Below are 16,006 nucleotides of genomic sequence, written 5' to 3'. Positions count from 1 at the left end.
ACGAGAGCAGGAGGGGCCTTTCAGCCTTGCTCAGGGCAGCCCCCACAGGCTAGGTCAAGCGGCTGGAGGACGAGGGCTTTGTGGAGGCCACGTTGGCGGCAGGGGTGAGGGTTTTGAGGGCAGAGCCGGGCTACAGCCGTGAACCGAAGCTATGAGCTGGGGAGGGAAGATGGGGACAGGACATTTAGGAAGAGCTCCCTGAGGGCACCAGGCAAGGGCCAGCATGCGGCACCTCCGCCAGAAACAGAGGCCAAAGCTCAGGCAACACCCATCACATGGGGTCAGAGGCCAGCGCAGGAGGGACGCAAGCACGACCATCCCAGGTCCAATGCAGCGCGCTGAGCTGAGTGACCTGGCGCCGGGCCAGGCGGGACTACACATTGCCATCAGCCCCGGGCACCGGGCTGGGCCACCCACCCATCCCCAGCCCTACAGCTGAGGCCTGGGATGCTGCTGGGGTCGGGGACAGGTGGGCTGGGGAGTCTCCACGGAGCACAGTGCAGCCCTGCGGAGGGCCTCGGGCCACCCCAGCCCACGGGTCCTGCCTAGAAGACTCCATCCTGGAGAGGCAGCTATGGCCAGGGCACGCCCGTGAACGAAACGGAGACACTGTGACACTGGAAGGAAAAGTGACCCTGAGCGCCGGAAGAAGCAACAGTGACGACGCAGCCCAAGGACTGTTCACAGGCGGGAAACTGAGGCCCCGCAGGACAAGGACACACCGTGGTGGGGGTGGCAGCCTCCAGAGCCTGCCCTGAGAAAGTCTCACCAAGCACAGTGTTCACCCCAGCAGGAAGGGAGCAGCGTGGGTGCAGAGCTCAGAGGCTGACGAGGGCTGCCCATTCCTGGGCCAGGACTTCCAGAGGCCAGACCACCCAGCCTGGCTGCCACCAGGAACCAGGGAAAGCCCAGCTGACAGCCACTCCCCCCAACAGCACAAGCTCCGCTTCCATGGACCAGATGAACAGGCTGAAGCAGACACGACCAAGGCACGGTCAGTCCACTTTTACTCTTACTTATTTACTCATAGCCCACACTGTCTTGCACAAAGATTGTGCGGTGGCTCGCAGGAACTACAAAATATAAGCTAAAAACAAAACCATGCAACTACAGTCAGTCATAACTGGAACAAAAAGAATGACCCGTTCCCATTAGAGCAGAAGAAAAGTCCCACGCGGCCCAGAGCTGAGCAGCACATTTGCTGTGAGCTTCCTAGCAGGCAAAGGAAGAGAAGAACTAGACTTTCTTTGTTACTTAAGGGAAAAACCAGCTCTTCTGATTCCCAAATAAGAGATCCTTCCAGGGTACTTAAGGGAGCTTTGGGAAGGCCCCAGTCCCATTCCCTTAGCCCACTCCAAACCCTCACAAGCCCCTCCAGCAGGACTCTGAGCAGCTGAAGGTTTGGGGGTAGCCTGCAGTCCCCCTCCTTCCCTGTCCTCTACCTGGCAGCAGAGAGGCAGTGAGGCCAGCGGCCACAATCCCATCCCCACCCAGCCCACATGTGACCACGGCCAGACTCCCCCAGAGCACGTCCCTGCCCCGACATAAAGCTTGTACCCCGGAAGCCGCTAGGGCTCCATCTCTGCTTCTGGCTGGTGTTCAGAGGACAATGGTTCACATCCCTCAAGCTCAAGTCCTCCCCCAAATGCCCATCCTCAACCCCTGGGACCCCAAAGAAGCAAGAGAGACAAGACGAGCACAAGGACGTGCCCTCCACCCATCACATGCTGAACCACAGGGAATCCCGGAGGCAGCACCGCCTGTCCAGGGAAGAGAAAGCCCAGGTCCCACAGAGGCTGCACAGCGAGGCTGGGCCCACCCAGGCTTCCTCCCTCCCGGCCCTTCCCCAGGCTCCCTCCCCAACAGTAACTGGGAGCTCCGAGCTCCACGGCCTCCCGAGCAGAGCCCTTCCTGGTAGAGTTAGCCAGTGCCCCGCCTGCCAGCCAGGGAGCCGTGCCCCCTCACACCTCCCCAGGCTGCCACCAAAGCCTGTGACACCTGGGCTCAGCTGGGAATGCTGCTGATGCCAGGCACCCCACCCTGCGGATCCCCGAGGCGGGTGCCACTGCCAGGCACAAAGGTGGCCCTGGCAGCAGTGGAAGCCGGGCCAGGCTCCAAGCAGCGAGGGAAGGTGGCAGCCCCAAGTCTGGGGGCCCAGGGGCTCTGACCACAAGTGGCGAGCATCCGTCATGGGACCACTCGGGCGCAGCTCCTACCCTCCCAGGACCATTGCCTATTTGGGGGCAACAGACCTGGGACCCCCAAATCACAGGCCTGGGGGCTGTGGAGACAGAGATGCCCCCATCCATCCAGGGGGCTAAGAGGGCTTCCTCGGACAAGTGACAGAGGAGGAACGAAAAGCTGGCAGGAGGAACGAAAAGCTGGCAGGAGTCACCTCCAGTCAAACCAGAGAGGCAACAGGAGAAGCAAACAGAAGCCCATGAGCAGCGTCCAAGGAGAAACAGGACTCGCCAAGCCACACAGAGCGGTAGGAGGGCTCCCAGCCTCAGACCATGACAACTGATTCCCTGTACACAGGGGCCACCCGGAGCTTCGCCGGGAGGAGAGTCCAGAGCCACAGCCTCGATGGGCAGCTTCCCTCACTGTTCAGCTGCGTGGCACCAGCAGGCGGCACCAACAGTGGTTCTGGAGCTCTTGGGGGCATAAGGATGAGGCCCCTGCCTGGATAAGCAAGAGATGCACGGGAGCTAAATGAGAATTGATCATTTTCCCCATCGGGGGCGATAATCAATTCAGCACCGGTACTGACGCTTCAAATGTCACGGGGTCTCAGGAGGAGTCAACACCTCACATGACGTGTCTGTCAGCAGCTGGAATGGATCCCCAAGCAGGGACCCTCTCCTTGAAGCAGGGAACCATCCTTTGTGGGGGAGGGGGATGGTCATCCTCCATGGGAACTGTCATTTTGAGGGGCGGATAGCCGGAATCCAGCCCCAGCAGTCCCGGGGGTGACCACCAGCAAGTGGGGTGTGGGAGGAAAAGCCTGGTCATTCAGTCATTCAACAAACACCTCCAGGTGACCCGGACCCCATGCCTGACCTGGCAGAGCTCCTGCTTGTGGGGGAAACCAGGACTGGGGTCAGGGAGAGGGAAGAGGTCTGCCACAACAGTTTGCGGTGGTGGGTGAGCATGGGGAAGCGAGGGGGGCCTTAGATGTGGAGAAAGAGGGAGGCCCCAGCTTTGCCTGCTGAATGGGAGGCACCAGGCTGCAACCTCCCACAGGGACATCTCAGAGTTGGGGGCACCTGAGAAGGGGCCCCTGAGGCCAGAGCAGGGACACTGAGGGGCCTCCAGCCCAGGGAGGCCAGGGGGTCTTGGGATGAGGACAGCATCTATGGCAGGGCAGACAGAGCAGCCCATTAGAGAAAGGTCCCTGGAGGCCACAGGAGGCCAGGCCACAGGGGGCCGCTCCAGGCCATGGGGGTCCTGAAGTAGTCAGCCCGGAGACAAGGCCTGAGGACCCTGGTGAGAGCAGAGGGCACAGTGTGGGGACACAGTGAGGAGCAGGAGCCACGGCCAGAGTCCCATCATGGGGCTTCCCCTCCACACCCAGGGCCAAGCACCCTTCTCAGATCAGGAAAGACAATCCCCTGGGGCTCCAACAGGGGCAGGAAGACAATGTCCCCCTCCCCTACGGCCCCAGACGGGGCACCAGAGCTCAGAAAGGTGGGGAGGGCACAGTCTTATCCATGCCACAGGGATGAGGTCCCCAGATAGGGGACCATGGTCACCCTCACTGCCCAGACAAGGGAACTGAGACAGGCTCAGGCAGACAAGAGCACACAGCAAGGGAGAGGTAGGCCGGGAACCTGGGCTCCAACAGCCCCAGGGACTCGGAGTCCCTAACTCAGCAAACAGCAGCAGCAGCTGCCAAGGTGAGAGTGCATCCCTTCCGGGCACTGCTCTACGTACCTATGCAATGGGCACAAAGACGGTCCCATGTCGCAGAGCAGGAAACAGTGGCCAAGAACTCTCGGGAACCTGCTCAGGGGAGCTGCCTCCTGGCAGGAGGGTGGGCAAGGGCCCAGCAGGGGATGAGCATAGGCAGGACCATGCAGGCATCGGGTGTTGCTAAAGAGCAACACATTCAAGGAGACCCTGGCAGGCTGGGCCCGACCCTCTACGCCTCCCTCTACAACGGAGACAGGCAGGGAGACCCCGGCAGGCTGGGCCCCGACCCTCTACGCCTCCCTCTACAACGGAGACAGGCAGGGAGACCCTGGCAGGCTGGGCCCCGACCCTCTACGCCTCCCTCTACAACGGAGACAGGCAGGGAGACCCTGGCAGGCTGGGCCCCGACCCTCTACGCCTCCCTCTACAACGGAGACAGGCAGGAAGCCCGGAGGCGAGGGCCTCTAATAGCCAGGCCGGGTCCCAGCAAGTCTCTCCACTTCTCTGGGCTTCTGAAGATCCAAGCATGAGACAGATGGATGATTGTGAAGTTCCCTGTAAACAGCTATCCTCAAGGAAGCTCATCTCTCCCCTAAAAAATACGAAACGGGCCCCTGGGGAAATCCTAGAACACCAACCCTAAATACCCCTTGCCACGTTGGCCTTACAGAGCAGAGGCCAGGGCCCACTGGACAGTGCACCAGACTCCGGGGAGCACACTGGGGTCTCCCTGGCCACCCCAGAGATTTCCCTCCCAACCCAAACACAGAAGCAGCCATGTCCACACATCTGGGCCCAGCGGGCCAGGCCAGGGCTGCAGGCTGCAATTTTGCTGGGACTCTGGGGACAGCCCAGGCCCGCACAGGGGACAGGACAATGACACCCGTAAGGCCCCAGGATGGCAGGTGCAGCCCCCCATGCCCTGTGGAGAGACAGTGGAGGATGGGGTCTTCTCTCCCGGGGGCACAGCACCCTGCAGGTGGGACAGCACTTCACAACAGGCCCCAGGTGACAGAGGAGACCACAAAGCAGAAGAAGGGGGCCCAGAGCAGAACAAAGCCCTGGCTGAGACCAGCCCGGGACCCCGGTGTGCTGAGTGCCAGCGCCAGCTAGGGAAGGGGGAGCCCCCAGCTGGCACTCAAGAGGAGTTTCCAGTGTCAAAGGCCAAGCTCAGGGGAGGCTGGAGATGGGTGGTCTGGGGCTCCCCTGAAGACCTGTCTGCCAGAAGAGACCAAGACACCCCCCTAGATGAGGAACCTAGAATCCACCAGGGACTAGTATCACCTGCAGCCCTCTCCACTAGGACCCCTGGCCTGCCCGTGACCAGGAGCCCCCTCCCCTCCACGAGTCCATGCCAGGACCATGGCCCCAGGGCCAGGCAGCATCAGCAGTCCAAGCCCACTCCAAGAATGAGGAGACCAGCTCAATCTTAATGCCCCTCCTGTCTCTGGCGTGTTTCCCCTAATGGGGCAGCAAGATGGGCCTTTAGCTCTGGCTGGCCCTCTCCAGGGGGCCCTCAAGGGTCTCCTGCTACCTTTTAAACTAGATACAGGCCACTGGGGCACAGAGTATGGCCAAGGCTGCAGCCTGTCCAGAGCAGAGGACAGGGCGGGTCCAGCCCCACCCCAGGACAGGCCCACAGGCGCCTGGCCTGAGCCAGAGAGAGGCTACAGCAATCCTATCCCTCGCCGAGACTCCAGAGAGCCCGGAGACGGTGCCCAGGACAGAAACCAGACTGGTACCCTGCCCCACCCTGCCCTGCCCCAGACAGGGCAGTCAGGGTCTCAGCTCACTCCAACCCCCACAGCCCTTAGAGAACTATATTTAGATTCAATGGGGATTATGCGGACTTCCCAGGAACTCTTTCATAAAGGCTGAAGGCCCGGCAGCGGGCTTCCTCTGGAGACCCCCACCCGCCCCCAGCCTTTGCAAACTTCCAGCATGCATTGTTCCTGGAACAATGGTCCCTGCTCCCTCCAAAGCCGGCAGGCCCACTGGCTGGAAATCCAGGAGAACCCCTCCCCTGCAAGCACCTGCCCCTGGGGCTGGAGCCTGGGGAACCCAGAGGGCCCCGACTCAATTCCCCATGGGCGGCCACTGCCTCAGTCTATCCCAGGAGGTATGGGACAACAGTTCTTATCCTTGAGGCTGGGAGAGGAGTAGGCAGGGACCCCCCAGCTGCTGTGGCCCACCCTTTCACCTGCCAGGCCCCCCGGCCCCAGGTATGTAATTTCCAGACACCTGGCTGGGGGCCCAGGTGCCCCAAGGGCCACAATGCACCAAATAACCTCTCCCTGCTGGTAGGGCTGGAGCTGTCCCGCCCTGGGTGGAGTCCCTGCCATCCGCTCTCTCCCCTCCTCCTCCCACACAAACCTGCGTTCCAGCTGTGGGACATCTGGGCTGGGGGAGGAACGCCAGCCCAGGCCCCTCCCATCCGAGGCAGCAGGGCCCCTCGGGCTGAGCTCCCTAGCTCACACATGGTGTTACAGACCGGGAAACTGAGGCCCGCAGAAGGGAAGTCCTGGCTGATAACTCTTTGTGGAAACAGCAGCAGGGAAGGAGTGGAACCCTGCTTCCCTCCAAGCCCCAAGTTCTACCCAAGTTCGGCGTGGCCCTGCTCGGAGGGGTCGGCCTAAGGAAGTGTCACTTACCCGGAGGGTGGTCCCGGGCCCGCTGACCAGCTTCCACGCCTGTCGCTTGAGCTCCACCAGCTTCGTGTGGCAGTGGCGGCACCAGCCGCCTCCGCCGGCCGAGTGGCCCTGCTCTGGGCCGGCCCCGGCGCCTTCGGGAGCAGGGCGGCTGCCGCATGGGTCCTGGTCGGGCCCGGCGGGTAGCCTCTTTCGGGGGGACACCTCCAGCAGCGGCGGCGGCTCGCGGGCCGGGCCGCCCTCGGCCACCTGCAGGGTGTGGGGGCGGAAGCGGACAGTGAGCCTGGGACGTCCGTCGGATCCAGACCCCTGCGCGCCCTGCCCCAGCGTGACGCTCTTGCCAAAGTTAGGAGCCCTGGGCACGACCCTGGCGCTCACCCACTCCCTCCATCCCCGGAGGTCCCGCCTGCGGGTCCGCTACCCTCAGCAGGAGGCCCGGCCCCCAGGGATCCAGCGCACACCGCGAGTATCTTCGCCGTCCCGGGCCCCCGCCGCCCGCCTCCCTCTCCAGGCCGGGCCGCGCGTACCGCGGGCTGCGCAGCGCACAGAGGGACGCCGCGGCCGACCATGGCCGGGGCGCGGGAAGAGCCCGGCAGGCGCTCCCGGCCACGCTGGCTCTCCGGGGGCGCCGCGGCTACGTGATCCGGCCCCGAGGCGCCCCCATGGCCCGGCCCAGCCGCTCGGAAGTTCGCAGAGCCTGCGAGTGTCGCGAGGAGCGCGGTGGCTCCGGTGGGCGCGCTCGGGAGGCGAGGGCGGGGCCGGGGAAGGGCGGGGCTCGGGCTCCCGGGGCGGGCGGCGAGGGGCGGGAGCCCAGAGAGTGCCCCGCCCTTGCCCAGTGCTGGGCGGCGCGTGGGGGGGGTAGGGTCCCCGCTTCCCCACGCGGCCCCGCGCACTCCAAGGACCCCAACCTGTTAGGTGAGTCCCTGCCCCGGGGAGGGGCGCTGGGGGCGGCGGCGAGGATCTAGTTGCGCGCGCGCATGCGCCTCCCGCCCCTCTCCCGGGACACCAGGGCTGCGCGTCTCCCAGGAGGCGCCGACGCCCCTCCCTCTACAGGCGGGAAAACTGAGGCTGCGGAGGGGACGCTCTTGCCCAAGGCCCACGGCGAGGTGGGCCGAGGAAGGGGCGGGACCCCGGCCCCGAGACTCCCAGGCGCCTTTCCAGCAAGCCCAGCGTACTCTGCGTGTCGCGGGCCACTTTAGGTCTAACTGTCGCGCGTGGGTTAGTGTCGCCGCGGTGTGCGCCTCGAGCCGGGCAGCGACCGCGCCGGCGTATCTGTGCCTCGGCGCGTCTGCGAACGGCACGTGTCTTTACAGCCGCGCGTGTGCCCGCAAGTGGGTGTGCGCGCCGTGCCGCCCGGGAAGCGGGAGGTCCTGCGGGCGTGCGCCGGACCTGTTGTCAGCAGGCCTGGCAGATGGGAACTCAGCTCCGGAATTAATTGCTTGTTTGTCTCCGGCTGGGAGGCCGCCCCCCCGCCCTTCCCTGGCGACCAGTTGCTCTGTGCCTAGCCGGGCCCCAAATGTCGCCGGCATCCGCGGCCGCAGGCAGCTCCGGGCCAGGCTCCGGGTCAGCCCCAAAGCCCGGGTCAAGCCAGGCGGGCGCGGCGGGCGGGCTCCCCGTGACGCGAGTGCCCCCTGCCGGCCGCTGCGCACACGGCTCCGAGACTGGGGAGACAGCGCCGCGCGTCCCAGGCCTGAGGCGCACTCGGAAACTCCGAAGGTCGTGACCCGGCGGAGACCAGGACACGCGGCTGCCGGCACATACGGTGAGGCCTTCGCAGAGACTCAGTACGTCAAAGTGACCCTTTCCGTTTTGCCCACCCCCTTTTACTTGGATAAGCCTCCCCGCCCACGCACGCACTCCCCAGAAAGTGGGGTGGGTGATCCCCTCCCGGCTTTCCGGGTCGTTGATGACCTTAGGGGTTCGAAAACGCAAGGGGGTATGGAATAAAGTGGCAGGGGCTCTCCACTCTTTCTGAGATCCGTAAGCCTGCAGTCGCTTTCCACCCAGCCTGGGGGGCCGGAAGCGCTTCCCCTACCCGTCTCTTCGCAGCCTGGAGAATGAAAACGGGCGTCAGCCCACATCTGGATCTGGGTACTGAGGACAACACCCAAACCCCACCCCGCACTGCCGGCAGACAGCACCGCCTCCCGCCGCTCCACTGCTCCGGGACACACACTCTCTATATCCCGTCCCCCCACCCACACACGCAACACAGAAGCACGCAGCGGTCGGGAGCACCGGTCCTGCGCCCCTGGCCAGCCACACCCGCAACTTCAGCGCTTCTACCGCCGCGGCGCTTCGGGAAGCACAAGCTCACATCCCATATCCGCAGAACACGGGGTGCACAAGGCTGGAGTCACCTCGGGGGCTCACGATCAGTCAGGGGCCCCGACCCCCTACTTCGCCCATCCTAGCAAGGCGCAAGGTGAGCCCGAGAATCCCTGCGCTGCGCTCTCCGCCCTAGCCACAGCCTCCGGGTGGGTCCGGTTGGGACACAGCCTTGAAGGCAGAGGGAGACTTGGACAACGCTAATGGGGGAAAGTGCGGCAGCGAGTCCCAGCCCGGGCTGCGGGACGCGGCTCCGGACCTGCCGTCTCCTTCCCGGCGCAGCACCCCCGGCCGCGCGAGCCGCGCGGCAAAGTAACGGGACGGCGCCTACGCCGCCCGCCCCCCTCCCGACAGCCCTCACCTTGCCTCGTCGCCGCAGGAGGTGGCTGGTGAAGCCCAGGATGATCTCCGAGTCCAGGCAGAGCGCCCCCATCTCCAGCAGGCTGGGAGCCTTGCGGGGCGCGCCGCGGGGCGGCTCGGGCGGCTGGGGCAGCGCCATGGAAGAGGGAAGCGCGGGGAGCGGCCCCTAGTGCCTCCCGCCACCGCCGCCCCGCCCGCGCGTTCACTGGCCGCGCGCCCGCCGCCGCCGCGCCCCGCACCGCGCAGGGCCGCCCGTCAAGCCCCCGGTCCTCCGCGCCCCGCGCCCCCGAGCCCTGCGCTCGCTCCGCGCCGCGCGCCCCCGCGCTCCGGCCCCGCCCGCCTGCGCCGACAGCGCCCCTTCCGCCCCGGCGGCGAGCCAGACACCAGCCACGCGGACTGGAGGTGTGGGGCGACGGCCCCGCGCGCCACTGGGCGGAGGTTGGAAGCCAGAATCGGGTCGCGGTCCGCGCCCACCTGCCTCGCTAGCCCCCAGACGTCGGTGTCTACTGCCGGGTATCCGGCAGGGAGAGGGCAGCGCGGCTGCTGTAAAACCCTTCCGACTGGGGCATAATCGCAGCCCCTTCCCCCTCCAATCTGTCCTGAGGACACGGCGCGTTGGGGTCCTGGCCCATGGAAACGCTCAGAGCCCAGTGACCTGTGCACTCCACCCCGCCCACGCTCCAGAGCCCCCGTTCAACCTTGGCCTATGGACCTCCAAGGCCCACCCCAACCGGACCACGGAGCGTGCGCAGCGGGACCCGCAGTCTGCGCCTCCACTCCAGGATCCCGATTGTGCCGCCACCCGTGGCCTTCCCTGCCCCGACCCCGACTCCCTGAGGGCTGGAAGATTCGGGCTGGCTGCCGGGCACGACGACTTTACTTTCAGGGTCCGAAGCTAGGGGCGGGGGTGGGCGCTCTGCCTGGGTGCAAACTCAAGCCCGGGTCCCGCGCTCCTCCTGTGGGCTGCCCCAGCCTCGCGCGCAAGTGGGTGAGATGCCTGGCTTGAGGGAGGAAGGGAGAGGATCAAGCAGGCAGAGAGGTTCGCCTAAATGCGCTAGGCCCACGCGGAAGGTCTTTGGGAGTTAAGGAAGTGTCAGGGACCCTGCCCAGGGGATATTAGGCGCCTTGAGCAGGACCTGGAAGGTGGACAGGCGAGGGAAGGAGAACGTTTTCAGCGGCGCCAGCGCGCACCTATGGCCTGGCTGGGGTGCTAAGGCTGGGCTAGACTTTCTGTGCTCTCTGCCCCCTGCACTCCTCTACTCTCCCCTGGGAAGGACCATGGCCACGCCCCACAACCCCACTGCTCCGGCGGCGCCGCAAGGCCGTCCTGCTCCCCCGGTCCTTCCCCTGACTCCCCCCAGTGGAGGCTGAAGGACGTTGTCTCAACCTGACTCCAACCCAGAGCCCAGCACTGCCATTTGTCTCCAACAGAATCACCATAAACGCTGGATTTGCTGACCACATGGCCGATCGTGACCACCTGCTCTGTACTCACCCAGGCTTCTGGTCAGGAGAGAGGCGGGGAAGAGCTGCCCCCTCCCTGCGTCCACCATCACTCCTGGCCTGGGATCAGGGCAAGTTATAAAGGGGGCCAGAGTCCCCCCTTTCTCTCTGTCCCTCTCCAGGAGGACACTCTGGGGACCACCCACCCTCCTCCCTCCCCCACAGGAAGGGGACTGGGGAAGACTGTCCTCTTCCCCCATCCTGTCTCATCCAAGACCCTGAGCCTGGGGCGGGGAGGGGGGGGCTCCCTTCAGCGGACCAAGGGCTTCTGGGAGGCCACCCGCCATGTCAGTGGATTGATTAAAGTCATTGTGGGGATTTTTTTTAACATTTAATTTACCAGGCACGCGGCGGCTGGTCAGAGCTGTCCCCAGGGAAATCTAGACCAAGGGAGCAAAACAGAAAAAAACCTCCTACCATTCAGCAGGGCCCCTCTGATGGGATTAATTGCCGGAACTCGGCTTCCATTCAGACCACACGCAGCAATGTTTCAGGGAGGGAGGAGGACATGGGGCTTGAGTGCTCAGATTCCTTCCCTGGGTGCTTGGAGCCCAGGGCCCTCCATACCGCCATCTCTCCCCAGCCTGCTGGTGCTGGTCAAGAGCCCCGCCCCCCACCTCTCCGCACCTTCGTGTCTTCATGTGTGACGAGGTGGACGGTACCCGGAGGCAGACCAGTCCCTCCAGAGCCCACCCCACCCCCATCCACGTCCCTTCAGTGTGCAGGGCAAGAGCTGGGAGGCACCCCAGACACGCTCCCACGGAAACTGAACACTTGCCAGAGGTGTCTTTAGTAGTGGAAACCGGCTGGGTAGGAATGGCCAATCGTCTCTTCATCCTTGGCGACAGTGGATGGACGGCAGGTGGACCCGGGACAGGGACGGGCACGCAGTGTGCGGCACAGCCCCGTTGGCCTTTGCAGAGAAGGTTTATGCTTATGAAGGCGGGGACCTTTCCTGGGACAGACACAAGCAACAGGTAACGATTGTTGCCTCTGGAGAGAGAGTAGGAGTGGGGTTCGGGAGAGGTTTCACTTCCATTTTACACCCCTCTGCACGGTTTTGACTTTTGTGGGGTTTTTAACCATCCTGTTTAGCATTTAATAAAGAGATAAGGAAGGGTTACAGGGCCTAAACTGTCCACAATAAAATTATACAAGGCCCATGGCCCTAGGATCACACCTGGCATCAGACAGACCCTCATCCTCTCCAAGAGTTGAGGGGGATGGAAAAAACCCTTCTCCTCAAGGAGGCCTCGGGACACTCCCCACACGTTCCCAGGATTGACCAGCTCCCTGGGCTCCCTGCTCACCTATCCCTCCTGGAGGCCAGGACCATGTCTGGGGTGCAGGAGAGAGGGTGCCTCAGGAAGGCAGCCACAAGGGAGGCCGACCCCGGCTCAGGGCAGGGCCTCCTAGTAAAGCGAGGCCCCTCGTCCTCAGCACCAAGGGCAGGCTTCAGGTGGTCACTGCACCAGTTCTTCAGAGGGTGTCTGAGTGCTTGGGGGAGGGTGGCCGGCCATGGGGTTTAGCTGACACCCACCTGTTCTCCGGACCAGGCTCTGTCTTACGCACTTGGTAACATCCACTCATTTAATCTGCCCAACAGTGCTAGGCACGGGTATTGTATGATCGCCGTTTTACAGATGAGGAAATGAGGCCCAGAGTGGGGAGGTCAGTCTCCAGGTTTCGCCCCAGGAGTCTGTGCTCCTAAGCCCTGTGTTTACAGCCTCCTTCCCTCTTCCCCCAGGGCCCAGCTGCAGAGCAAGGGACCCCAGCCCTGGCCTCGGAGCCAGGATGGAGCACGAACAAGGGTGGTCAGCTCTGAACTGAGGTCTGGGAGCCCAGCCAGGATCCCACGGATCCTGGCTAAGGGTTTGCTGAGTAGGGAGAGACTGGGGATGCTCGCTGGTCAACAGCTGATGGCTCCACAGACCTCACCCTGTGCCAGAGGAGCCCCAGGTCCAGCACAGAGGGACAGCCTAGGACGCGGCTTCAGCACCTTGGCCAGCACCAGGAGGGGGCTTCTGCAGGCGAGGGGAAGGGGGATGGGGGAGTGTCCTGGGGTGTCAAGCTCTCCATCACTCATTTGCTCATTCACTCTTTCTTTTTTTTTTTTTTTTTTTGGAGTCTTGCTCTGTCTCCCAGGCTGGAGTGCAGTGGCACAATCTCAGCTCACTGCAACCTCCGCCTCCTGGGTTCACGCCGTTCTCCTGCCTCAGCCTCCTGAGTAGCTGGGATTACAGGCGCCCACCACCATGCCCGGCTAATTTTTTGTATTTTTAGTAGACATGGAGTTTCACCGTGTCAGCCAGGATGGTCTCAATCTCCTGACCTCGTGATCCGCCCGCCTTGGCCTCCCAAAGTGCTGGGATTACAGGCGTGAGCCACCACGCCCGGCCTCGCTCATTCACTCTTTCAATTCAGTCATCCTGGAGTCGTCCTTGACTCCTGCTTGCTCACGGCCCCCGCAGCCCATCCATCAGGATCTCCTGTCCCTACCACCCTAATGGAATGTCAGCCCCTGGAGGGGGTTCTGCAATGCCATGCCTGCTTCACCACAGCCGCCAGGTGAGCCTTTAAGAAGGCGGTGGGCTCCTTCCACTTCTCGGCCCTGGCTGACTGACCCGTCTCCTCCCGCTCTGCACCCCCTACGCATTCTGCTCCAGCCCCAAGGGCCTCCTCGCTGTTCCCAAACGTGCAGTCACCCCCATTTGAGCGTTTGCTCCACTGTTCCCACTGCCAGGGGGCTCTTCCCCCAGACATCCACATGCCTGACTTTCTCCAGGTCTTTTCTTTTTTGAAATAGGGTCTTGCTCTTTCGCCCAGGCTGGAGTGCAGTGGCGCAATCACAGCTCACTGCAGCCTCGACCTCCCAGACTCAACCGATCCTCCCACCTCAGCCTCCTGAGTAGCTGGGACCACAGGCACGCACCTCCACTCTGAGATAACTTATTGATTTTTTTGTAGAGACCAGGTTTCACTATGTTGCCCAGGCTGGTCTCGAACTCCTGGGCTCAAGCAATCCTCCTGCCTCAGCTTCCCAAAGTGCTGGGGTTATAGGCGTGAGCCACCAGGCCTTTTCTAAGCAAAGTGTTCCCTGCCCACCTTACCTAAAATGTCAGGCCCTTCCTGCATCCTGCAGCTTTGCCCATGTTTCCTCTCCCTCCTTAGCACTTACCAGGAGCTGACTTAGATGTTTCTTACTTGTCTAGTTTATTGTCCTTCATCCCCTTTAGAATATCAGCTCCATGAGGGCAGGAAATGTTTGGTTGAGCACCTGGCACAGCACTGAAGCTCATTCACATTTGTGGAAGAAATAAAGGAATGCATGAACCCCAGGCTTGTTCTCTGTGCCACCAGGTCCTGCTGCATTCCCCCTGCAGAGGGGCTCCTGTCCTTCCTATCCCAGCCTTTCCCGGCCCTGCCATGCCCCCACCCTATATTCTGCTCTGGCCACCTCACTGGCCCCACCCTGGCTCCTCTCACCCCCCACCACACTGCACCTCGAGGCTGCAGTGCCAGACCCCACCCTCAGGATGCCTTGCCCGGGTTCCCACAGCCCAGCCCTAAGTCAGCCAGGTTGACCTCATGGGACCTGCAAGCCAGTGTGCGGCGCCCAGCTGCCCCAGCCTGAGGACTCTTCCTGGGCCCAGGTGGAAGCATTCCTGACCTACCTGCACCTTCTCTGTTTCCTGGGAGGACGTGTGTAGCACCAAGTGGCCTCCAAACCTTCCAGCCAGTGCCCTCCCCACCAGGGTGGAGAGCCCTGGCCCCAAGCCCAGCCTGCAAGGCCCGCAGCCTGGATCTTTTCCCGCCGTGCTTGGCTCCCCTCTCCCCTCCAACACGGGATCTGGCTGCCTGAACCTCCCTCCATGCCCACAATACCCAAGCCCTGGCAGGACTCCAGAGTCTCTACCTCCCTCAGCCACATCTCGAATGGGGACACTGTCACTTGTGGCCAGCAGATGGCACACTTTGGCCACAGTTTGTGGCCAGAGGACGATTAAAGCACTCTCTTGGTCCAGTTCCCCTTTTATGCAGATAGGAAAACTGAGGCCCAGAGACAGTGAAGGGTGCACCAGGGCATGGAGCCCAGGGCTCACCTTCAAGGCCCATGAGGCCAGCCCTGTGGCCTCACCAGTGCCCCCACTCCACCTAACAGGCCTTGGCGCATCTAACCCCATACCCCTGACTTCCTTCTCCCCTCCTGTTCCTGCCTCTTCTCCCTCTACTCCTTGTAGGCTGGGCTCAGCCTCCAGCTTGAGGATAGGCAGTGACCGGGGAAGAAGAACACCTGGGTCAGGAGTCTTACCGAGTCCCCAGGCACTTTGGCTGAAGGTGCAATCTGCAAAACTTTGAGAAACCCCTTAGCACAGGTGCATTGCCTAGACAGCCCCGCCACCATGCCAGAAGTGGCCCCGCTGCTTCCTGAAGAGCCTGGGGGTGAACCTCATACAAAACCCCCAGCCTCCCTCAGCTCCGGATCCCCAGGGACCAGGGCTGGGCATGAAGGCAGCCTCATGAGTAGAGGCTGTGTGTGTGTGTGTGTGTGTGTGTGTGTGTGTGTGTGTGTGTGTGAATATGGCTTACACGAGAGTGTAGAGCATTGATGCACCACACAGAGTGAGGTGCTGAATCAGTGAAGATGGGAATGCTGAGAGTGCCACTCCCTCAGACCCTGGGGTCCAGGCAACACCATTAACCACACCAAAGACACCACACACTTCAGGAGCTGCCACCCAGGGCCTAACAGGATATGGCATCTCCACAACTAGTCCTGAGCATGACCGTGGAATTTCCTCAGAGAAAGAAAATATTGACTTCCATGAACTTAAGTGCAGATGCAATTCAGAGGACACTTTAAAAAGCACTTGGAAAATAAAAATATAATAACAAATAAAATTCAAGAAAGAGGGTGAAAGATAAAATTAAGGAAACCTCCCAGAAAGTAAAGAAAAAAGAGTTGGAAAATAAGATGGGAGCATTTTTTGAATTACAGAGTTAGGAAATTCAGCATCTGAATCACAGGAGTTCCTGAGAAGGATAGAAAAAATATGAGTGAAGGAATAATGCCAAAACATTTGCCCAGAACCAAGAGCTAGAAATCTTCAATGGCCAGCACAAGAAAGCGGGGAAGAAAAGGCCAACATCTTGAAATTTCAAAATAACACCAGGAAAAAACAGAAGATACTAAAAGCTTCTGGGGGTGAGAGGAGGAGGATGGATCAGGAAGCCAACTGACATCTGACTTCTCA

General features: G+C 62.3%; 1 protein-coding gene and 1 long non-coding RNA gene across 2 annotated transcripts in view, besides 5 other annotated features; one reads left to right on the top strand and one right to left on the bottom strand.

Moving 5' to 3' along the window:
• Positions 1-7,265, bottom strand: part of KIF26A (kinesin family member 26A) — a 42,308-nt gene extending 35,043 nt beyond the window's left edge. The window contains exons 1-2 of the mRNA NM_015656.2: positions 7,088-7,265; positions 6,564-6,809 (exon numbers count right to left, since the gene is read on the bottom strand). Of these exons, the coding sequence (NP_056471.1) occupies positions 6,564-6,809; positions 7,088-7,129 (288 nt within the window). The 5' untranslated portion in view covers positions 7,130-7,265. The remainder of the gene's footprint in view (positions 1-6,563; positions 6,810-7,087) is intronic.
• On the top strand, positions 7,223-11,069 carry KIF26A-DT (KIF26A divergent transcript). The gene is made up of 3 exons (NR_158217.1): positions 7,223-8,322; positions 8,610-8,985; positions 10,680-11,069. It is a non-coding gene; the product is annotated as a KIF26A divergent transcript (long non-coding RNA).
• Positions 7,963-8,674: an enhancer, noted in NCBI's record as "H3K27ac-H3K4me1 hESC enhancer chr14:104603515-104604226 (GRCh37/hg19 assembly coordinates)". NCBI's record gives its function as "activates a minimal SCP1, AML or CMV promoter by ChIP-STARR-seq in naive H9 embryonic stem cells {active_cell/tissue: H9 hESC(naive)}" and the evidence as "EXISTENCE:reporter gene assay evidence [ECO:0000049][PMID:30033119]".
• Positions 8,097-8,266: a silencer, noted in NCBI's record as "silent region_6184". NCBI's record gives its function as "represses an Ori minimal core promoter by ATAC-STARR-seq in GM12878 lymphoblastoid cells {active_cell/tissue: GM12878}" and the evidence as "EXISTENCE:reporter gene assay evidence [ECO:0000049][PMID:35858748]".
• Positions 8,675-9,386: an enhancer, noted in NCBI's record as "H3K27ac-H3K4me1 hESC enhancer chr14:104602803-104603514 (GRCh37/hg19 assembly coordinates)". NCBI's record gives its function as "activates a minimal SCP1, AML or CMV promoter by ChIP-STARR-seq in naive H9 embryonic stem cells {active_cell/tissue: H9 hESC(naive)}" and the evidence as "EXISTENCE:reporter gene assay evidence [ECO:0000049][PMID:30033119]".
• Positions 9,673-10,246: an enhancer, noted in NCBI's record as "H3K4me1 hESC enhancer chr14:104601943-104602516 (GRCh37/hg19 assembly coordinates)". NCBI's record gives its function as "activates a minimal SCP1, AML or CMV promoter by ChIP-STARR-seq in naive H9 embryonic stem cells {active_cell/tissue: H9 hESC(naive)}" and the evidence as "EXISTENCE:reporter gene assay evidence [ECO:0000049][PMID:30033119]".
• Positions 10,855-11,354: an enhancer, noted in NCBI's record as "H3K4me1 hESC enhancer chr14:104600835-104601334 (GRCh37/hg19 assembly coordinates)". NCBI's record gives its function as "activates a minimal SCP1, AML or CMV promoter by ChIP-STARR-seq in primed H9 embryonic stem cells {active_cell/tissue: H9 hESC(primed)}" and the evidence as "EXISTENCE:reporter gene assay evidence [ECO:0000049][PMID:30033119]".

This window comes from Homo sapiens, chromosome 14 (genome assembly GCF_000001405.40).
Source record: "Homo sapiens chromosome 14, GRCh38.p14 Primary Assembly".
NCBI classification, from domain to species: Eukaryota; Metazoa; Chordata; class Mammalia; order Primates; family Hominidae; genus Homo; species Homo sapiens.
Note: the sequence above shows the minus strand (reverse complement) of the source record. Positions and strands in the feature narration are given on the sequence as shown.